Raw genomic sequence first — 21,935 nt, forward strand, 5'->3', positions numbered from 1 at the left:
CCAATAGCAAGGCCGCACCGAAAGGAGCCAGTGGCGGGGGCGGGGTTAGCGGGCGTGGCGCTGCCGGGGACGGTCGGCCTAGCTTTTCGAGCTGTGTACGTTTGCGTAAAGGCTGGGCGGCGATAGAACGTTTCCGTGGACCAGAGTCGTGGCTGTTGTCTGTGTTAACATTTGTGTAAAATAAGATGCCCATAAAAGTTGACTTGAACACTGAGGAGGAAGAACTAAATATTTAAATTTCAACTGACATGGACACAAACAATGGTCACCAAGTCCCTAAACAGGTTGTGGGAGCCCCTTGAGGCGTTCATCCAGCGCTGTTTCGGAGAAATCTCTATTTCAGTCTACTCCTATACGTCAGTTATTGAAAAACAACAATCGCAAAAACAAGTTGACCTTTTTGTGTTCCTTGAGCCCAGTCGCAAAGGGCCCTCGTGACTGGGCCTCATGCTAGACAACATGTTACAAAAAGATCTAGGGTCCCAGACCACGCCAAAAAGCTTCATGAGACCTCTCCTCGTCTGTGCACTGACGAGTGGCCGGCTCTGGAGCCCAGGTCGTTGCTTCCCAGTCTGGAGGTGAATCCTCCATAGTCTGGTGAGTGTAAATATATATATATATATGTCTTTTTCCTTCTCCTCTTCCCATTGCAATTTGCTTATTATATCAATCTGCTTATTATATTAATTTGCTTATTATAATATCTGCATTGCCATTTACGTGGGATAAAGCTTGCTTACCCTTAAAGGTACTGTGTGTGTGCCTTTTCTTCTCCCCTAGCGCGTCTCCCGCACAGAACGAACACCTGCTTTTGTGTCATCTGTTAACCCCCAGTGTGGTTCCTACTGAAGTCCAGTCAGTCACAAGCCTGGCCGTGGTCCTGGACCTGGTCCTGGGCTGAGATCAAAGCCAGGTGCTTTTGCCCCCAGATTTTCTGTTGCTTCCACTATGCTCCCATGCAAGACAGACACGGAAACACAAATCCCCTGGCTCTTCCACGGATAGAGTGGAATTACTACAAAGCTCTGATGCACTTCGTTAACCCTGTGTTGGGTACAGCTCAGCCGCGAGTTTTACAGGAATATATGGTCCTCCCCAAAGATCACTGGCTTATTGCTTAATTGAATGCCTACACCCCCCCGCCACCACCCCCAACCAATATTTCTAACATGGTAGAAGGACTTTTTAAAAAAATCTATGGTCCACAGCCAATTTCTTCATCAAATGGCCCTGAATGGCTGGGCACGGTGGCTCACGCCTGTAATCCCAACACTTTGGGAGGCCAAGGTGGGCGGATCACCTGAGGTCAGGGGTTCAAGACCAGCCTGGCCAACATGGTGAACCCTCATCTCTACTAAAAATACAAAAATTAGCCAGGCATGGTGATGGGCACCTGTAATCCCAGCTACTCTGGAGGCTGAGGCAGGAGAATCGCTTGAACCCGGGAGGCACAGATTACAGTGAGCGGAGATCACACATTGGACTCCAGCCTGGGTGGCAGCGAGACTCCATCTCAAACAACAACAACAACAACAAAAAGGTCCTGAGTGGCTGAGCACAGTGGCTCATGCCTGTAGGTCCAGCTACTCGGGAGGCCTGGGCAGGAGGAAGGCTTGAGCCCAGGAGGCTGCAGTGAGCCATGAATGCACTACTGCACTCCAGGCTGGGAGACAGAAGGAGACCTTGTCTCTAAAAAAATAAATACAAAATATTTAAATATAAGTAAATTTGTTAAAGGGTCAGTAAAATGACATTTAAGTGGAAAGACATGATAAGCTTTGTGATTTGGAAAAGTCACTCTAATGACAGCATGTCAGTAGTGTAAACCAAAATGTATCTGAGACAAGTCTCAATCAACGTAGAAATTTATTTTGCCAAGGTTAAGGACATGCCTGTGACACAGCCTCAGGAGGTCCTGATGACATACGCCCAAGGTGGATAGGGTATAACTTGAGTTTATACATTTAGGGAGACATAAGACATCAATCAATACGTGTAAGATGTACATTGGTTCAGTACTGAAAGATGAGACAAGTGGAGGTGGGGTGGGGCTTCCAGACCACAGAATTGGCAGATTCAGAGATTTTTCCAATTGTCAACTGGTTATTATCTAAAGACCTGGAATCAATAGAAAGGAATGTGTGGGTTTGTGGGCGGGGCACAGTGGCTCACGCCTGTAATCCCAACACTTTGGGAGGCCAAGGCAGGCAGATCACTTGAGGTCAGGAGTTCAAGACCAGCCTGGCCAACATGGTGAAACCCTGTCTCTACCAAAAATATGTATTAAAAAAAAAAACATTAGCTGCATCTGGCGGTGTCCACCTGTAATCCCAGCTACTTGGGAGGCTGAGGCAGGAGAATTGCTTTAACCCGGGAGGCAGCAGCTGCAGTGAGCCGAGATCATACCACTGCACTTCAGCCTGGGTGACAAAGTGAGACTCCATTTCAAAAAAAAAACAAAAACAAAAAACAATAAGGGGTTGTGGAGTCTAATGTTTTATCATGCAGATGAAGCCTCCAGGCTTCAGAGAGAACAGATTGTAAATGTTTCTTATCAGACTTTAAGAGTCTGTTCTATTAATATCAGTCTTAAGATCTATGTGTTGATGCTAATACTGGTCAGCTGGGTCTGAATTCCAAAAAGAGGAGGGTATAATGAGTTACGTCTGACTCCCCACTTCCCATGATGGCCAGACTAGTTTTTCAGGTTAACTTTGGAATGCCCTTGGCTGAGACAAGGGTTCCATTCAGATGGTTGGGAGCTTAGAATTTTATTTTAGGTTTACAGTATACCAGGATGGGGTCATTGAGTGAGGGGTGAGGAAAAACAGAAGTCAGGGAGACCAGTCAAGAGGCTGTTGAGGCTGGGTGAAGTGGCTCATCTTAGCACTTTTGTCAGAGGTGTTTGAACCAAAGCAACTCCATCTCGAATAGGGGCTAAGTAAAATAAGGCTGGGACCTACTGAGCTGTCTTCCCAGGAGGTAAGGCATTCTTAGTCACAGTATGAGCTAGAAGGATGGCACAAGATACAGGTTACAGAGACCCTGTGGATAAAACAGGATGCAGTTAAAAAGAAGCCAGCCAAGGCCGGGCATGGTGGCTCATGCCTGGAACCCTGTCTCTACTAAAAATACAAAAATTAGCTGGGCATGGTGGCGGGCACCTGTAGTCTCAGCTACTCTGGAGGCTGAGGAGGGAGAATCAGTTGAACCCGGGAGGCGGAGGTTGTAGTGAGCCGAGATCACGCCATTGCACTCCAGCCTGGGTGATAAGAACGAAACTCTGTCTCAGAGAAAAAAAAAAAAAAGAAAGAAAAAAGAAAAAAAGCCAGTCAAAAGCCACCAAAACCAAGATGGCCTTGAGTGTGACCTCTGGTCGTCCTCACTGCTCATGATCTGCTCATTGTAATGCATTGGCATGCTAAACGATACTCCCACTGGTGCCATGACAATTTACAAATGCCACGGCAATGTCCGGAAGTTACCCTATATAGTCTAAAAAGGGGAGGGACCCTCAGTTCTGGGGAAATCTCTGCCCCTTTCCTGGAAAAGTCAGGAATAATCTACCCTTTGTTTACCATATGGATCAAGAAATAACTATAAATTTACTCAGTCGAGTAGCCCATACTGCTGCTCTGTCTATGGAGTAGCCATTTTTTTTTACTCTGTGGACTTGCCCCAAATTCTTTCCTGTGTTGAGAGCCAGGAACCCTTTCTTGGGATCTGGATTGGGACCCCTTTCCAGTAACACTTTGGGATGCTAAGAAAGGAGGATTGCTTGAGCCCAAGAGTTAGAGGTTGCAGTAAGCAGTGACTGCACTACTGCACTCTAGCCTGGGTGACAGAGCGAGAGCGAGACTGTCTGAAGAAAGGGAAAAAAAAAAAAAAGCCCTGAAGGATCACATTGCAGTGTCAGGAGATGGCGTGAGGTTTGTGCTGGGTGGAGTCCAGTAGTTACTCCCACTACTTTGAAAGCAACCTCGAAGTGGCTTTTAGATGAAGAGAACAGCTGACATCCTAACATCACAGACTTAATAGAGAGGTCAAGACTGCCCATTTGGGAAAACCATCCTAGGGTCCTTACTACAGTCCAAGACGACAACGTCATCAGCCACAAAATGCTTTTGAAATATCAGGTTCAATACTACTTGTTCTTGATTAAAAGCTTTTCTGGGGTGGCAATGTAGTTTGTTGTTGTTGTTGTTTTTATACAGGGTCTCCCTCTGTCTACCTCCTGGGCTCAAGTACTTGTCCTGCCTCAGCCTCCTGAATAGCTGAGGCCACTATTCCCGGCTAATTTTTAAAAAAATTTTTGGCTGAGGCAGGACAATCACTTGAACCCGGGAGGTAGAGGTTGCAGCGAGCTGAGATCGTGCCACTGCACTCCAGCCTAGGCGCTTCCATCTAAAAAAAAATTTTGTTTTTAAGTGACAAAGTCTTGTCATGTTGCCCAGGCTGGTCTCCAACTCCTGGGCTCAAGTATCCTTCTTGAGTAATCCCAAAGTGCTGGGATTACGGGTGTGAGCCACTGTATCTGGCCTCAACATAGGTTTTTGTTCGTTTTTGTTTTTTTGGTGGAGATGGGATTTCGCCATGTTGCCCAGGCTAGCAGGTTGATCTCATATTCTGGGGCTTAAGAGATCCACCTGCCTCGGCCTCCTGAAGTGCTGGGACCACCACACTGAGCCTCAACATAGTTCTTAAATATAGCAATTGTTAAGGTTAAATCTATGGTTTGATTCTGACACACTATATCTATGCTTTAAGTGGATGACTTTCTTTTTTTGAGAGAGAGAGTTTCACTGTTGTTGCCCAGGCTGGAGTGCAATGGTGTGATCTCGGCTCACTGCAACCTCAGCCTCCCAGGTTCAAGCGATTCTCCTCTCTCAGCCTCCTGAGTAGCTCGGATTACAGGCACCTGCCACCACGCCCAGCTAATTTTTTGTATTTTTAGTAGAGATGGGGTTTCACCATGTTGGCCAGGCTGGTCTCAAACTCCTGACCTCATGATTCGCCCACCTCGGCCTCCCAAAGTGCTGGGATTACAAACGTGAGCCACCACGCCCAGCCGACTTTCATTTATTTATATAACCACAGGGGTCTTCTGGAATAGATGGATCTAGGGTCGACTCCTGAGAGTCACTATCCTGTGAGGAAGGAAGTGTTTGCCTCCAAAGCTCCTTCTTTCAATGGAAGGAAACAGATACTGTACCAAAGTCACTCCTGAAACAGAAGGAGGTGACTACTAAGAATTTAGGTGTACCAAGTGCTTCAGCCTTCCCTGAGATGCCATGAACTTTGCAAAAGTATTTAGTAATAATGGATACTATTTACTCTTTGCTTCCATGGTTTGAGAAAGCTCGTTTTGTAGTTTTATTTCAATTCTTTAAGAGAAAGTATAGATTTAAAAATGTTAAAGATCTGTGTATATGTGTCATTTCCATACACCCATGACTGATAACTGACTTCTCAGTTTCCACTTCCACAATGTTCTTGTTTTTCATACAATTTATTTCTGAGGACAAAAAGAGTCATCCTCTTAAAACTGCACTTTTTTTTTTTTTTTTTTTTTGAGATGGAGTCTTGTTCTGTAGCCCAGGCTGGAGTGCAGTGGGGCGATCTCGGCTCACTGCAACCTCCGCCTCCCGGGTTCAAGCGATTCTCCTGCCTCAGCCTCCTGAGTAGCTGGGATTACAGGCGCTCACCACCACGCCTGGTGAATTTTTTTTTTTTTTTTTGTATTTTTAGTAGAGACGGGGTTTCACCTTATTGGTCAGGCTGGTCTCGAACTCCTGACCTCATGATCCGCCTGCCTTGGCCTCCTAAAGTGCTGGGATTACAGGCGTGAGCCACCGCACCTGGCCACATTTTTTTTTTCTTGAGATGGAGTCTCACCCTGTCGCTCAGGCTGGAGTGCAGTGGCACTATCTTGGCTCACTGCAACCTCCACCTCCTGGGCTCAGGCGATTCTCATGCCTGCAGCCTCCTGAGTAGCTGGGACCACAGGTGCGTGCCACCATGCCTGGCTAATTTTTGTATTTTCAGTAAAGACGGGGTTTCACCATGTTGGCCAGTCTGGTCTAGAACTCCTGGCCTGAGGTGATCCACCTGCCTCGGCCTCCCAGAGTGCTGGGATTACAGGCATGAGCCACTGCACCCAGCCCCAAATTGCACATTTTAATCATGTTCTTCTCTCCTTTATAGGAGCTCTTATTCAGGGTCTCCTGAATTAGGTTAGAACTTCTGAATGTTTGCTTCAAAGCTTTCCAACATTTTATTTACTTATCTATACTGCTTTTCTGTTCCCTCTTCCAACCCCAGCCTTTGTTTTTATCTGGAAAGGAAAAGTTTACCCAATGAAAATGTACCCTTCTCTCTACAACAGAAGATTCACATTCTCTGTGAAGTCTTCCTTGCTAATTCTCACTTGGCTTTGTGCTGGCCCCTATTGCCCTAGCAATGCCTCAGTATCCATGTTCACATACCTCTCCAACATTTGAAATTCATTCTCTGTGTTTTATAGATTTGTTAATGTGTAATTACGTTGCATATATTCATTATCCTATTTCTCCTCCTGACTTACGTCCTTAACTAACCACTCCCTCAAGGAAGGCATCCAGTGTCCTTAGAACATTCCATAGCTAAATACAATGACCCAATATGTAAAGAAGGTGGTACATATCATCAAGGTGGATGAAATAAGTCAATTAGAATGGTGAACTGGGAAAACACACCAAGAAAGTAGGTAAGGATGGAAGACCAAAATGCATTGCACATCATTGAGACCATCAAAAGACATGTCTATGAATTGGTGTGCAGTGAAATTTTCCCCTAAGAAGTGTTCTCAGCTCTTTCACATGCAAGACAATATACATATATTTTGGACTAGGATGCAATGACCAGCTCTGTAAAGGGAAGCAGGGGTGTTGAGTCCAATTTCTAACTCCTCCACTGGTTCACTGACTAGGAGATGGTGAACAACCATCTTCATTCTTCAGTGTTTAATTCTATTTGTAAAATAGGTATTTTCTTTTTTTGAGACGGAGTTTCGCTCTTGTTGCCCAGGCTGGAGTGGAGTGGCGCGATCTCAGCTCACTGCAACCTCTGCCTCCTAAGTAAAAGCAATTCTCCTGTCTCAGCCTCCCAAGTAGCTGCGATTACAGGCATGTGCCACCATACCTGGCTAATTGTTTTGTATTTAGCAGAGACGGGGTTTCAACACGTTAGTCAGGCTGGTCATGAACTCCTGACTTCAGGTGATCCACCTGCCTCGGCCTCCCAAAGTGCTGGGATTACAGGCATATGCCACTGCACCCGGCCAAGTATTTTCATTTTTAAACTCACTGTCTACCTAATCTTACCCAGTTTAATAGCTTGAAATATTTCTCTCTAAATTTGAGACTCATAGCACCATTCACCAACTCTACATCTTCACTTGTGTATGTCCCTTGGACATCTCATATTTAATATCTCAAAAACCAAACTCTTGTTTTTCACTCCCCAAGCTGGCTCCACCCTATTTCAGTAAATGGCAATTCCATCCTTCCAAAAACCTTGATTTTGATCTGTCCCTCATGTCTTACATCCAATCTATCAGCAACTGTTACCAGTTTTACCTTCGAAATATATCCAGAATACAACTGCTTCCCATCACCTCTGTAGACCCCACCTTGGCCAAAGCCAACATCATCTTTCACCAGGATTATCACAATAGTGTCTCAACTATTTCCCTGCTTCCACCCTCAGCGCCTACAGTCTACTAAGCTAGCCTTTTGAAAAGGAAAGGCAGATTGTGTTACGTCTCTGCTTAAACCCCTACACTGACTTCTCATCTCATTCTAAATAAAATCCAAAGCTCTTTGCATGGAATTCAAAGCTCAACACAGTTTTGTTCTAGATATCTTTGAATTTGTCTCATAACACACTCTCCTCTCTCATTTATTCAGCTCCAGCCACAGGGGTTCCCTAGAATATGCCAGGCACTTTATCTAATTAGCATTCCATCCCACCACACTCTCTAGTCACCTACTGTGCTTTATTTTTCGAAATAGCACCTATCATTACCTAACATACTTATTTTTTGTCTTATCCCACTAGAATATGTCAGGGGGACAAGAATATCTCATGCTGCCACCCATGAGAATAGGGATGTCATCTGTCTTCTTCACTGTTTTTCCCCAGCACCTAGCACAGAGCTCTTGTATGTAACAATAATTTCTAAGTAGGAAATTCAAAGGATTTTTTCCACTTCATTAAAAACAAACAAACAGATGCAGTGGCTCACACCTGTAATCCTAGCACTTTGGGAGGCCGAGGCGGGCAAATCACTTACTTGAGGTGAGAAGTTCAAGACCAGCCTGGCGAACATGACAAAACCCCATCTCTACCAAAAATACAAAAATTAGCTGGGTGTGGTGGTGTGTCCCTGTAGTCCCAGCTACTCAGGAGGCTGAGGCAGCAGAATCGCTTGAACCCAGGAGGCAGACTGCAGTAAGCCAAGATTGTGCCACTGAACTCCAGCCTGGGTGACAGAGAAAGACCCTGTCTCCAAAAAACAAAAACAAAAACAAAGAAACAAAAAAACCTATTCTAGTTACTCAGACACACAGTCTTAAAATAACAAAAATACTTATAGAATGAAGCTAGATTCCACAGCATCGATCAGGAATTTCCAGTGTAGGAAATGATGAACTACCACATTCAAACATACAGGCTTTACAGGTGCATCAGAATCACAAGCACGTGGCAGGGTTCATGTGCCCAATTAAGTGAATATTCCTGCTACATGTTCAGCAGCTTATAAACAGATGGTGACCCAGACCAGACTGCCTTGATGAGTCTGCTTGGAAAAAAGGCATTACATCACTGATTGGAGAACCTCAAAGCATATGTCCGGGCAGGTGACACACACACAGCTCAGGCTGTGATTGCTAAACCACTCCCACAGCCAAATAAGGAAACCCATCTCATGACCAGCTCTCAGGGGAATTCTCCGAGTCTGACAGTCACCTCTAACTCCTCTGCCAGTTAAAATTAAGGGGTCTGTGATCAGTGATGTTACACTCCTCAAATGTGCATTTTTTTTTGAGGCGGAGTCTTGCTCTGTTGCCCAGGCTGGAGTGCAGTGGTGTGATCTCGGCTCACTGCCACCTCCACCTCCCTGGTTCAAACGATTCTCCTGCCTCAGCCTCCCGAGGAGCTGGGACTACAGGCGCCCACTACCATGCCTGGCTAATTTTTGTATTTTTAGTAGAGACGGGGTTTCACCATGTTGGCCAGGCTGGTCTTCAACTCCTGACCTCAGGTGATCCACCCGCGTCGGCCTCCCAAAGTGTTGGGATTACAGGCGTGAGCCACCGTACCCCGCCTCAAATGTGCATTTGTGATACCTTTTCGTAAATGTTTATTCAAATATTTATTCACGAATAAAGGAAGAAAACGGGATTTGTTTAAATTCAATTTCTAGGTCCAAGACAACCTACTACGGCTGTCCCTAATACGGACCTCCGGGTTGTCCTCAGTGCCGCTTCCAACAGTGTCCTCAAACACCCTCCCCTCCCATAATGAGCCCCCAACCTGTCACCACTCCGAGCAATACTCCCCAAACTGTCAACGCCCTAAACAGCTCCCTTGTTATCGCCAAGCTCTAGAAAGCCCTCCTTATGTCATTCTTACCCCTAAAGACCGTTCTTGTCACCAATTCCCCAGACTTCCCCTATGAACCGCTCTAAGAGCCCTCAGCTATCAGCCACACCCCCAAACAGCCCTCAGTAAGAGCCCTACACTATCAGCCAGACGTTTTCCGCCACCAACGCTCCCGAGACCCCACTCCTGTCACCAGTTCCCCGAACATTCCTGCGAGCAATGTCGCAGATACTGCTCACAGACGTCCCCATAACCAACTTCTTCGCCACCGCAGCCCAGGAGCCCCCAAAGGGGTCCTCCGCGGCCCCGCCCCTTTACGTGCGGCCCCGCCCCTTGGCGTGGCGCCCTGACAAATGGCGCCGGAAGCCCCGCCCCCGGCCGGTTGCTAGGCTCCGACAGCCGGAAGTCCCGCCTGCCGTGTAGTCGCCGCCGTCGCTGCCGCTGCCGCTGCCGCCGTCGTTGTTGTTGTGCTCGGTGCGCTGAGCTCCGCGGCTCCGCGAGCCGGTTCCGTCCCCTTCCCGCCGCCGCCATGAAGTGGATGTTCAAGGAGGACCACTCGCTGGGTAAGCACTTGGTCGTCGGCCCGGCTGCTGGGGGCTGGGGCGGCGGGTGGGCCCCCTCCCCCACTCGGGCGGCCCTGGGCCGAGTGGAGCGGGGCGGATGCCCTGCTGCGGGCTGGAGTCGCCCATGCCCTGGTGCCTCGGGCAGCGGCCCCCTGACCCCATGTCACCCTCCGCGGGCCTTGCTGGGAGCTAGTAGGGGACAGGACCGCGGCCCCGGGGACGCCGGAACCAGGGCCTGGGTTGTACGCAGGGCGCAGGAGGAGGAGGGCCGGGGGCCGGGAACCGACCGGTGGGCAGGCGCGGCCGTCAGCCCCGTTTGTTTCTCCCACAGAACACAGATGCGTGGAGTCCGCGAAGATTCGAGCGAAATATCCCGACAGGGTTCCGGTGAGTGGACTCTCCGCCCCCTCACCTCGCTGTCACCTCTGTCGTCTGGGACCCGTGATAGGCCCCAGGCCATTCAACAGTTGACAAGTTGAGGTTCCAGTCCCAGTTACAGTAGCTGACGGGCCAGACCGGGATGAGGCCGCCCAGGGCCGGGGCGTGAGGGGCTCGGGCTGGTGCTGTTCAGGGTGCCTCAGTGCTGAATCTCCCGATCTAGGCCAGCGAGCCGTCTGCAGCCTCGGGGCTCCCTGGCCAATTATGTAAGGAACGATGTTCTAGGACAGGGCAACAGGTCACTGCCACTTTTGGGAATGGTGGTGGAGGGAGACTGTCATTTTGGTCTTGGAAGTGGTACTTGAGTCTCAGGACGTTCATCTTTTACTTTGTCTCCATCTTTACCTAACTTCTAGCTCCGTTATCTCACCTTGACCCTGTCATCCTTGCCTGACCAAAATAATGTGAAAAGCCGCTGAAAACCCCTTCTGCCATATTTTCTTCTTAGTCAATAATAAATATAATGTTATATTTCTTCCATGGTTGGGGAGATAGTTTTGTAATCGTTATTAATTTTTAATGGACATTAAGGCCTGTTATTGTAGCTCTTTGCTTGTGAATAATTTGTCTGGGGAAAGGAGTAGGAGGGACGGATTTGAAACTTGTTCAGAGAGGAGCAACAGGCCAAATGAAGAACTTGGTTCTTGGCTGGCTAAAATTCCAGGCATTCCAATTAGTCCATCCATTCTTGTCTCCTGTGTTCCTTGGGAACACAGTAGTGTTTCCTGTAGTGTGAAGGTGGATCCATTCTGGGGTCCTGGAGTAACGGGCCATGGATGAAACCCTCCCCAGATATTCTTAGGTCTGCCCAGATAAAATGTGGAAAAGCTTAGTGGTAAGGGCTGCATTTCTCTTACATAATTGACCACAGAAAAGCACTTACTGTTTCCCTGTAACACATTTATATCAATTCTTAACCTCCAGAGCGTGTGGTTTATTAAGCCAAAGACATATTTTCTCCTGCTATGCAGTTCCCCACCCACCTCCTTGCCCACACTCTGTTCATCAGCTCCTCAGCCATGTGAGGCCAGAGCCTCGCTTTAGGAAACACAGTCCTGACCTCTCTTTACTTTCCCAGGTGATTGTGGAAAAGGTCTCAGGCTCTCAGATTGTTGACATTGACAAACGGAAGTACTTGGTTCCATCTGATATCACTGTGGCTCAGTTCATGTGGATCATCAGGAAAAGGATCCAGCTTCCTTCTGAAAAGGCGATCTTCCTGTTTGTGGATAAGACAGTCCCACAGTCCAGGTGAGAGGTGTTTACTAGATGGGCCCTCTGGTATTAGACATCTGGTTGGCTGCTTACGGAACTCCAAAACTTTGGAAGTCTGAAAACTCTTAGGGGTCCTGACTAGAAATCTGGATTTTATGCTCCCTGACATCAGGGGCTCCAGGAAAATAATGGCTGCAATACATAAGAGTGCATTTTGGATTCAGAAAATAGAACAAGGCCTGGACTTTTAAAAAAATGATGAAACTCAGCCTAAGATCTCCAAGAATCTTTTAAAACGGTTGAGAACTTATTTAGTCTTAAGCTATAGGTAGAACTGAGGCCTGAAATGAGGTTTTCTTCCCTGAAGGCAGTCCTGGCATGCTCCTCCACTGGGAGCCTGTGGGCCCTGCTGAGGCTCACTCAGTTAATCATCCAGTTTGCTTGCTCCCAAACTTGGTCAACTCTTTGACATTGTAAGAGTCTATAGCTGCCTGATCCTCAAGTCTGACAAAATGACTGCGGCACAGTAAAGGGCTCTGAAGTCTCTTTACAGACTTATACCTCCCTTGGTAGCACTTGCTTTGACTGTCAGACTATTGTGCTGCCTGGAAGCAATCTTTGGGACTGTAACTTGTGGCCTGAATGTAGGCAGAGGCATTAGAATTCCCGTTTTCTGTGTGTTTGACAGCCCAGCTTTAGTCCCCTGTGGAAAAAGGAAAGTGGATGGGCTCCGTCTAACCTCCTGGTCAGTCCTTTCCCGTTACTGAGTGGGTAGTTGTAGGCCCTGATCCAGATTCCAGCCCCCACCTCTCCCCTGAGTGTGAGTTTCTGGCCACATCTTATCTTTGTGACCCAATCTAGGTTTCATTTACCACTCCCAGAAGTAATACTTCTAAAAGTGAAGGCTCTCAGAAGCCCTGGGAACTAGCCCAATGTTGTCCAAATAGGTTCCTGTTGAAAATCCTTGAAGACTCCAGAAGAGGCCTGTGCCAAATTCCAGACCTTATTTCTGTTAAAGGTGGAAAGCTCTGGCCATTTTTTGGTCTGATTTCCTCTTTCCCAGTGTCCTCCACCTCTACTTCCTGGTGTCTGATAGAAAGGCAGGGGAGAAATGGAAGCTCCTTCCCTAAGGCCAGTATTCAACCTGAGGAGACACCCCAGGGCCTGCCCACTGGACGCCATTGGTCTGCCACAGCTGTAGCTCTGGAAGCTGTGGTGTTGCTTGAGGAGATCTTGTCACCCATGGGGCTCTTCTAACCTTCCTTCCCAGGCCTCTGGGCTGTGTCTTCACCAGGGGAGGAAGCCTTGGGCATCCGTGGTTACCCTGGGCTTTCCTTAACGTGTTTGGGGAGGTAATCTTCTTTCATAACATCTGCAACTTCTACAGAGCCTTGGTGACTCTGTGTTTTGTACTTCCTGGAGGTGTTGGCTTAGTGGGAGAAAATAAGTGACTAGGACCTATGGCATTGAGTTTATTTTCCTCAATTCTGATTCTCTGGTTCTTCTCAAAGGAAATGAAGCAGGCTTCTGGAGACCTTAAGATTACTCAGATGGCTCCACAGTAATCTAGCAATTAAAATGGCTACAGGTCTTATCAACTTCCCCTCCCCCGTTATCCCTGAGATAGAAATAGAATTGGAAATGAAAAATGATTTTTCAGGGCAGCAGAGACTGTTTCAAGCCATTTTCTCTCCAAGTCCCATTTGCCTTTCCAGTGTGGTGAGAATCAACCCTAAAGCAGATTACACTGGTAACTCAAGTCAGGATTTTAGGGCCGAGTAGCCAGAAATCCAGCTCCTGACCCTTCAGGATTTAGAGTCACCAGCTAGGGCCCTTTTGCCCAGGCTGTCAGCTCTTTGGCCCCAGTTAATGACTTATCACCCTACACTTAATGCAACTGTTTATTTTGGGGTTTTATTCTCAGAAGTAATTTTTTTTTTGAGACAGAGTCTCACTCTGTTGCCCAGATTGCAGTGCAGTGGTGCAATCTGAGCTCACTACAATCTCTGCCTCCTAGGTTCAAGTGATCCTCTCACCTCAGCCTCCCTAATAACTGGGACAGGACCACAGGTGCATGTCACCACACCGGGCTAAAAATATAAATTTGTTTCTAAACATAAGAGGCGTGTGACATCATTGGGCTTTATGCAATATATAAATCACCCATAAACATAAAAAGTGCTACAGGGTCCTTCCTAAAGCTGGCTGTGATTCAGCTTCACCATCTCTTCCCCAAGACAATTTAGCAGCCTCTTCCTCAGGTCTTTTCAGCTTCCTTAGGGGAGCATGGAGCCTCCCTTAACCTTCATGCAGTGCTTGCTGGCTTCAAAGAGTGGCTGGGGAAATTAGAGAAGGGACGAATTCAGGCCTGCAGGAGCCCTCCCTCTCCGGTGACTGACTGGTCTGCATGAAGATCAATTATGTCTGAGGCTGAAGGGGAGTGAGTTCTCAGTTATTTCTGCCTTGGAGTGGAAAACAGGCGGTCACCATGTAAAGTGTCATGATTTTTATTTAGAGTAGTTAGTATTAAATATTGATTCTATAAATAGAGACAGAGGCAAGTCCCTAAGTTTTACTTCCTAAATTCTAAGTTCTTGTTTCATTTAAAAAAGAGGGAATCACAATGGCCTTTTCCCATTTAGCATTGGAAAGTTGAATTCTCTGCCTAGGTGCCAGCATCAAGAATCAGGCCAAAAACGGAATGGGGAACCATGCCTTTGTTCAGACAGAACTTCAGAAAAAACATCAGTGTACAAGTTTCCTAGTCATGACGTTAGAGGGGAACTCAGACCTGGCAGTGAATGGTCTTTGGTCTTTGTTTGTTTAGAACATAGATAAGAGTCTTGTTAATCCCCTGTTTAAAATAGAAACAGGAGTATATCATTAAATATAATATCTCTAAGATATTATTTTTTATTGTTGTTGAGACAAGGTCTTGCTCTGTCACCCTGGCTGGAGTGCAGTGGCACAGTCATAGCTCACTGCAGCCTTGAACTCCTGGGCTTGAGAAGTCCTCCTACCTCACCAGGTTGGTCTCAAACTCCTGGCTACAGGTGATCCTCCTGCTTTGGCCTCCCAGAGTGCTGGGATTATGGGTGTTACCCACCATGCCTGGCCAGATATTATAACTGACATTGGGAAACCTGTGCTGTTTAAGAATATGGTGTTTATTTGCTTCTGGATCTTAAAGAGATCTTCAGTAAAAGGAAGTTGTGATGTTTTGGAAATGAAAAGTGATTTTCAGGGCAACAGAGACTGCTTCAAGGCCATTTTCTCTCCAAGTCCCATTTGCCTTTCCATTCTGCTGAGAATCCACCCTAAAGCAGATTATACCAGTAACCCAAGTCAGGATTTTAGGACAGAGTAACCAGAAATCCAATTCCTGACCCTTCAGGCCCAATTAATGACTTCTCACCCCACACTTAATCATCCTTTATTTAGAAATGTGCTTAAAGCACTTTGATCATTTCTGGGTAAATACCTCTTTAAGGACAGGACTTTTTTTTTTTTTTTGGAGACGGAGTTTCACTCATGTCGCCCAGGCTAGAGTGCCCAGGCAGTGGCGCGATCTCAGCTCACTGCAACCTCTGCCTCCCAGCTTCAAGCGATTCTCCTGCCTCTGCCCCCTAGTAGCTGGGATTACAGGCGACTGCCACCACGCCCGGCTACTTTTTTTGTATTTTTAGTAGAGACGGGTTTTACCATGTTGGCCAGGCTGGTCTCTTAACTCCTGACCTCAGGTGATTCGCCGACCTTGGCCTCCCAAAGTGCTGGGATTACAGGCGTGAGCCACTGCTCCCGGCCTAGTTGTTCTTTTTATCAGATAAATATGTTCTGTCCTAGGCCGTGTGTGGTGGCGGTCGCCGGTAATCCCAGCTACTCGGGGGCTGAGGCAGGAGAATCGCTTGAAGCTGGGAGGAGGAGGTTGTGGTGAGCCAAGATCACGCCACTGCACTCCAGCCTGGGTGACATGAGTGAAACTGTCTCAAAACAAAAAAAGGAACAACAACCAGTGGTTAATCTTTTTATTTTAGAATCTTGGGGAGCCTCAGGGCCTTATTAACTTTCACTGTGAAGCCAGTGCCTCTCCAGGATTGACAGTAGTGGTCACTGCCCTTCCACCTCCCACCACCCATCCTGCCCTGCTGGAGAAGAGATAATCCAAGGTCCAGTGGAAGCGCGTGGACTCCAAAGCAGATGGGTGGCCAGGTGTGCTCATCAGCCCAGCCAATTCATGAGTCGGTGTAGACCCCACAGCCTCCATGACCTGCCCTTGGTTGGGGCGAACGTAGGTTCTCTAGGGATTGGGCATCCATACAGTTCTAGGTCAGCCTCTCCCAATGCATAGCGCTGTTGGTAGCATAAACTGATGTCTGTCTTGAGTCACATGGCCATTCCTGGATGTAGGTCTTGCTGCAACTTTCCTTTTTTTATTGCACAGTTTCTCCACTGGAGAAGTGGTTTTACCTGGATCTGTGTCATTCAGTGGAGGGGTTGGGGAGAGGGCTTTAGGGGGCAGTTTAAATTCATTTTCACATAGTACTTCAGGGTCCCACTTCACCTTAGATTAGCTCCATGGCTTGAATCTACCACTGGCTTTACCCGTTTCTTTCTTTGCCAGACTCAGAGCTTGGAAGGTGGCAGTGCTTCTGTACTCAGAGCAGCATCTTTCTCAGATGAATGCGTGTGGTACTTGATGCCACAGGGTGTGCATTCGTGTTAGGGACTGGAGGCCATCTTCAGGTGTTCTCTACAGCCACCTCCCAGCAACTTAGGCAGCAAGCCTTGGAGCTGCAGTGCTACTTGCGAGTTGTCAGGGCATCCAGCAAGCCTGTGCAGCTTAGCTGGATAGATGCATTAGAGCTGCCTCTGTGCTGCAGGATCCTCAGGCATCCTAGCAGTGGCCTGCTCAGTGCTGTGTATAGCTCAGGCCTCCAAATTCTGAGGGGGAAGTTTAACTTCTCAGAGGTTTATGGAATGTGTCCCAAACTGACACACCAGCCTTCTGCTAATAGACTCTCTGCTAGCAAGGGTCACATTTTGTCTCCCTGCACTTCCATTTGCATATCCATTTAATGGGACTTTACAAAAATGAGTTAATTTTTTTTAAGTCTGTTTGTGGCCCAGCTCATTTTGGCTGCAGGCCAAATTATTCTGACTCTGCATGTATGCAGTCAGATCCCGTAAGTGCTGTTTTCAAATCAGTCTTGCTTCATGGCACCCAGTGAAGCCTCAAAATTAGGTGCATGTTCAGCATTGAGCATTCAGTTACCAAGTTCCTTGCCCAAGGGGTATCCTGACTATAAGGACACAGTGCTACTGCCAACTAAGTTTCCACATGAGGTTGTGTGTCAGAAAAGGAGAAATTGTTGGATTCTTAAGTTCTTACGCACTGAGGCATCTAACTGTCAAATTACAAGATGGGAAGGAGAGAGCCCTAAGACCTTGCTACTCAGCATGTGATGCAGAGACTGGCAGCAGTCGCCTTACCTGGGAGCTTGATGTTCCGATGGTTGGTACCAACATTTGTATGAGAAGCACTGTTCTAAGGAAGATCTCTGCAGAAGGTACAAGGACTCTAATGTTAGGTCATCAGAGCAGATCTAGCTGTCTAATCACTTGGAGGCAGCAAAGCTTGGTGGTCTCCTAGTTTTGTGACCTGGAGTGAATTTAGAATCTCTGTGCCTCAGTTTTCCTATCTAGGAACTATGGATTATGGTACCATCTACCTCATGAGATTGTTTTGAGGATAAAGAGTTAATACATGTAATGTATAAGCAGTGCTTGGCACATGTGTTGCCATTATAGTTAGGATTTTTACTATCAGCTTCTGTAGCTACTAGGGCACTGCTTAAACAAATTAATGAACCCAAGTTTTACTTAAAAGACAATGGAATCTAAAGCCAGAAAGGAATGAAAGCCACATGATTGTGGGCCTCCTGTCCTGCCAAGAGTCAGGGCTCAGAGTCTCACGACCTGCCTTCAACAGTAGCGGTCCAGTGGTTATTGTTCACCCTGGATAGCATACACAGGCCCGGGGGTGGGCTGCTGGTGTTTACGAAGCTCTTCAAATGTTTCTAATGTAGCAGCGGGATTTAGAATCATTGTACTAGGGCTTCTAACTTGCTAGGAAAAGAGCAGAACTTAGTCTGTTTGGAACCAAACTTGACAGAGACACTATGGGGCGACTCTGAATTGCACACAATGTCTGCTACTGCATCTAAACCCATCTGGTAGTGGCAGCGGGGAGATGTTACGACAGTTGTCATCAAGATCACCCTGGACACTTGGACAAATGGGGTAAAGAGTTGTGGCAGTAGCTGTAGTTGTTTTCCCATTAGCCTCATTCTGAGGAGTTTCAGAGAAAAATGGGGTTACTCTCTGGGCATTCTCAACCACCAGGGTAAAAATCTTGGGAGACTCAGCTACATGTTCAAGCCCTTCTGCTAGTTTCTGGCTTGTCATTTCACTTCCTGGCTTGTCACTCTACTTCCTAATCACATAGCTTTTAAAGATGACCCTCCCTTCTCCCCCCCAACAAAAGGTCAGGCATTTCCCTTTGCAACCTGGCTGCATATGGAATCATTTTTGGCATTTAAAAATATACTGATGAGGCCGGACACGGTGGCTCACCTGAGGTCAGGAGTTCAAGACCAGCCTGGCCAACATGGTGAAATCCCACCTCTACTAAAAACAAAAACAAAAACAAATTAGCCAGGCGTGGTGGCATGCACCTGTAATCCCAGCTACTTGGGAGGCTAAGACATGAGACTTGTTTGAACCGGAAGGTGGAGGTTGCAGTGAACCGAGATCCTGCTACTGTACTCCAGCCCAAGCGACAGAGCAAGACTCTGTCTTTACAAAACAAAACAAAACATAGTGATGATTTCATTGGTCTGGGGTAGGGCTTGGGCACAGAGATGTTTTTAAAGCTCTCTTTAAAGTAAGATTCTGATGTGCAGCCAAGGCTGAGACCCACGGCTGCAGGCGTTGTTCCTCCCTCTACCCACTGCCCCCTAAGTCTTGTTCTGGGGCAGTGCTGTCAGTAGAAATGGATGCAAGCCACATATGTAATTTAAGAATTTTCTAGTAGCCACATTAAAAAAATAAAAACAGTTGAAATTAATTTTTTTTTTTTTGAGACAGAGTTTTGCTCTTGTTGCCCAGGCTGCAGTACAATGGCACGATCTTGGCTCACTGCAACCTCCACCTCCCAGGTTAAAGCGATTCTCCGGCCTCAGCTTCCCGAGTAGCTGGGATGACAGGCGTGCACTACCATGCCTGGATACTTTTTTTGACAGAGTCTCGCTCTGTCGCCCAGGCTGGAGTGCAGTGGCACGATCTCGGCTCACTGCAAGCTCCGCCTCCCAGGCTCACGCCATTCTCCTGCCTCAGCCTCCTGAATAGCTGGGACCACAGGTGCCCGCCACCACGCCCAGCTAATTTTTTGTATTTTTTAGTAGAGACGGGGTTTCACCGTTGTTAGCCAGGATGGTCTCAATCTCCTGACCTTGTGATCCACCCGCCTCGGCCTCCCAAACTGCTGGGATTACAGGTGTGAGCCACCGCGCCCGGCTTACTTTTGTATTTTTAGTAGAGACAGGGTTTCACTATGTTGGTCAGGCTGGTCTTGAACTCCCGACCTCAGGTGATCCACTTAATATATTTTATTTGACCCAGTATATCCATAATTTTATCATTTCAACATGTAATCAAAATTGAGCTATTTTGCTGCATTTTCATACTAAGTCTGAAGCCTTGTTTATGTTTTACACTGCACATCCCAATTCACACGAGCCAGACTTTCAAGTGCTGAATGTAGCTAGTGGCTGCTGTGGCAGTGATACAGGACATTTCAATCAGAGCAGAGATTTCTATTGAACAGTTCTGTTCCAGGGAGTCCTTATTTTACAAATTCCAGGCTAAGAGGTCCTCACAGGGAGCACCGTTTTTATTGTACAAGATGCTGATGACAGGTTCTTTCATATTCAAATTCAGACCTCCCCCACATTGTTACTTAATAATTCTCATCTACCCACACAGCCATCCGAGCTAAGCTTGCAAATGGGGCAGGAAGAACAGGAAAAAAACTCAAAACCTCCCCCTTCATAAATGTGGTATTTGTCCATGTTTACATGGAGGTTCCACTCAGCCCTTGAGGAGCAAAGCAGCAAGTGGGGCAGTCACTGTTTCCTCAGGTTGAGGCCTTGGACTCCTTATCTTCCCCACTGGCTCTTGGTTTATGAGTTCCCCTTTTAAGGATCTGTTGTGACTTACCTATCTGGGCTAGTGACCTCAGATGTCTCAGACTGAGCATCTTACCACTGTTTCTGGTTGATCCCTTCACTCATGGTCTTAACACATTTGCACTTCCTCTCATCTCAGAGAGTACAGTCACGGGGCAGAGCTTGCATAGGGATCCAGGTGTTACTAGTCTTACTCTGGAGCTGGTCCAACTCAGTTTCATGGCACAGAACTAGATTAGGTCTCCACTGCGCAGTCTGTTTTACTGCTTAGGGAAAGCCAGCTTTTCTACCCACACACGTTTAGTTTGAAGAGTATCTATTTTTGGAGGGTTCTTTGGGAGGTTGGGCAGGCTTCTTTGGATCCCAGATACATTTAGAGCTTTTTGCATTAAGTGTGAGGAAAATAACTTCTCTTTGATGATGTTGATACACCATGTGGGCACCCTGGGGCACAGCGGTTTAGCTGGGGAGATTCCATGAGAATGAACCCAAACTACTCTTCTTTGCTAGGGTCCTTTACCCACACAGAGGTGAGCCTTTCAGGTTCTTCATTTTGCTTAGTTTCTTCCCTTGTCCTTGGCATTTAAGAGGCATCCATGTGTTAGCCAGCCAAAGCCCCCTGAAGGAGCTGGCTGCTTTAAAGGATTTACTTGGGAGGATGTCAAATGGCTTTGCCTTCTGCAGACTTCATTTATTTTAATCTTTTTATGGCTCCTTTCTCTTGCTTTAAAACAGGATTATAAGCACACAGCAGGTACTGACACCTGAAGTCTTACTAAATTCCTGTCCTCAGGCCATCCTTTTTCTCCTGAAACCTGGACTCCAATTTTCAATGACGTTTTTGTTTTTCTCTTTCAAGCCTAACTATGGGACAGCTTTACGAGAAGGAAAAAGATGAAGATGGATTCTTATATGTGGCCTACAGCGGAGAGAACACTTTTGGCTTCTGAGGGCCATTGCTGGGCTAGGTGCACCGTAACTGCTTGTGTATCTTGTAAATAGCCAGCCATTTTCAGTTATTATACCAGAACCTCTTCACATAGACCTATTAGTGCATTTGTAACTGGATTTATTTCTTAATATATTGGAAGGTTTTGTTTCCTTAGACTAGTAAATTATCATACAGAGTTTTATTTTGAGTTTTTCTTTTTGTGCATTGTCCTCATGCCTGTATTCTCCAGGAAACTTGTCCTTCTGGAAATCATATTGAATGATATTTCTATATCGAAGTGAGGTAGGTGCGGTATTAAAGTGAAAGGGAAGGTGATGCATTTATTCTGGGTTATGCTTGAAGTGTTAGATGGCTAAGTATTAAAATTATCCAAATTAAATCCTTAGCAGTCAGAACACTTGCTTCACTAGAATATGCCAACTGCCAATCATGTTGGACTGAGCTAATTTGTTCCTCTTTCTGAAACTATTAAGGTAAATAATTAACAATAAAAATTCTCTTATAAAGGCATTGTACTGTGGCCATGTCCTTTATTCACCCGCATTTGGATGGGCCAGAGAAGTGGCTCCTACATCTGCCAGACCAGGAAGAGGGCTTGTGGAGGTCATGGCCGCACATCCTGGGTCGGGAAGCCATGGCCAGGGTCATGAGGAGAGACATTGTTTTGAATAACTAATATGTTCACATGTTTGAGGTATCGGGACAATACAAAAAGGTATACACTGAGAAGGCTTGCTCCTGCCAGCTTCCTAACCACCTCTGCCCTTTATGGGAAATTACTTTTACTGGCTTCTTGTTTCTTTTCAATATTTTAAAAGTAAATAGGATAATTTAAAGGACAGTATAATGGCACAGTAAAAAGGATAATTAAATATG

General features: G+C 46.6%; 1 protein-coding gene across 1 annotated transcript, besides 9 other annotated features; it reads left to right on the forward strand.

Annotated features, from left to right (window-relative positions):
- Positions 1-110: a silencer, noted in NCBI's record as "silent region_7725". NCBI's record gives its function as "represses an Ori minimal core promoter by ATAC-STARR-seq in GM12878 lymphoblastoid cells {active_cell/tissue: GM12878}" and the evidence as "EXISTENCE:reporter gene assay evidence [ECO:0000049][PMID:35858748]".
- Positions 151-230: an enhancer, noted in NCBI's record as "active region_11137". NCBI's record gives its function as "activates an Ori minimal core promoter by ATAC-STARR-seq in GM12878 lymphoblastoid cells {active_cell/tissue: GM12878}" and the evidence as "EXISTENCE:reporter gene assay evidence [ECO:0000049][PMID:35858748]".
- Positions 261-370: an enhancer, noted in NCBI's record as "active region_11138". NCBI's record gives its function as "activates an Ori minimal core promoter by ATAC-STARR-seq in GM12878 lymphoblastoid cells {active_cell/tissue: GM12878}" and the evidence as "EXISTENCE:reporter gene assay evidence [ECO:0000049][PMID:35858748]".
- Positions 3,759-4,053: a silencer, noted in NCBI's record as "tiled region #12601; K562 Repressive DNase matched - State 5:Enh". NCBI's record gives its function as "represses a minimal TATA promoter and a strong SV40 promoter by Sharpr-MPRA in K562 cells {active_cell/tissue: K562}" and the evidence as "EXISTENCE:reporter gene assay evidence [ECO:0000049][PMID:27701403]".
- GABARAPL2 (GABA type A receptor associated protein like 2) lies at positions 10,067-21,569 on the forward strand. The gene is made up of 4 exons (NM_007285.7): positions 10,067-10,208; positions 10,540-10,595; positions 11,725-11,897; positions 20,967-21,569. The coding sequence occupies exons 1-4, from the start codon at positions 10,175-10,177 to the stop codon at positions 21,055-21,057; spliced, it is 354 nt and encodes a 117-aa protein (NP_009216.1). The 5' UTR covers positions 10,067-10,174; the 3' UTR covers positions 21,058-21,569.
- Positions 10,130-10,539: a silencer, noted in NCBI's record as "silent region_7726". NCBI's record gives its function as "represses an Ori minimal core promoter by ATAC-STARR-seq in GM12878 lymphoblastoid cells {active_cell/tissue: GM12878}" and the evidence as "EXISTENCE:reporter gene assay evidence [ECO:0000049][PMID:35858748]".
- Positions 10,529-11,282: an enhancer, noted in NCBI's record as "H3K27ac-H3K4me1 hESC enhancer chr16:75600739-75601492 (GRCh37/hg19 assembly coordinates)". NCBI's record gives its function as "activates a minimal SCP1, AML or CMV promoter by ChIP-STARR-seq in naive H9 embryonic stem cells {active_cell/tissue: H9 hESC(naive)}" and the evidence as "EXISTENCE:reporter gene assay evidence [ECO:0000049][PMID:30033119]".
- Positions 13,083-13,182: an enhancer, noted in NCBI's record as "active region_11139". NCBI's record gives its function as "activates an Ori minimal core promoter by ATAC-STARR-seq in GM12878 lymphoblastoid cells {active_cell/tissue: GM12878}" and the evidence as "EXISTENCE:reporter gene assay evidence [ECO:0000049][PMID:35858748]".
- Positions 15,985-16,104: an enhancer, noted in NCBI's record as "active region_11140". NCBI's record gives its function as "activates an Ori minimal core promoter by ATAC-STARR-seq in GM12878 lymphoblastoid cells {active_cell/tissue: GM12878}" and the evidence as "EXISTENCE:reporter gene assay evidence [ECO:0000049][PMID:35858748]".
- Positions 20,132-20,211: a silencer, noted in NCBI's record as "silent region_7727". NCBI's record gives its function as "represses an Ori minimal core promoter by ATAC-STARR-seq in GM12878 lymphoblastoid cells {active_cell/tissue: GM12878}" and the evidence as "EXISTENCE:reporter gene assay evidence [ECO:0000049][PMID:35858748]".
- Positions 21,570-21,935: the final 366 nt, after the last annotated feature.

Source organism: Homo sapiens, chromosome 16 (assembly GCF_000001405.40).
Source record: "Homo sapiens chromosome 16, GRCh38.p14 Primary Assembly".
Taxonomy (NCBI): Eukaryota; Metazoa; Chordata; class Mammalia; order Primates; family Hominidae; genus Homo; species Homo sapiens.

Excerpts from the sequence above, each read along its gene's own strand:
- GABARAPL2 (NM_007285.7), top strand. The coding sequence starts at position 10,175 with ATGAAGTGGATGTTCAAGGAGGACCACTCGCTGG. Across the intron at positions 10,209-10,539 it reads CAAGGAGGACCACTCGCTGG|AACACAGATGCGTGGAGTCC; the intron begins GTAAGCACTTGG and ends TTTCTCCCACAG. Across the intron at positions 11,898-20,966 it reads AAGACAGTCCCACAGTCCAG|CCTAACTATGGGACAGCTTT; the intron begins GTGAGAGGTGTT and ends TTCTCTTTCAAG.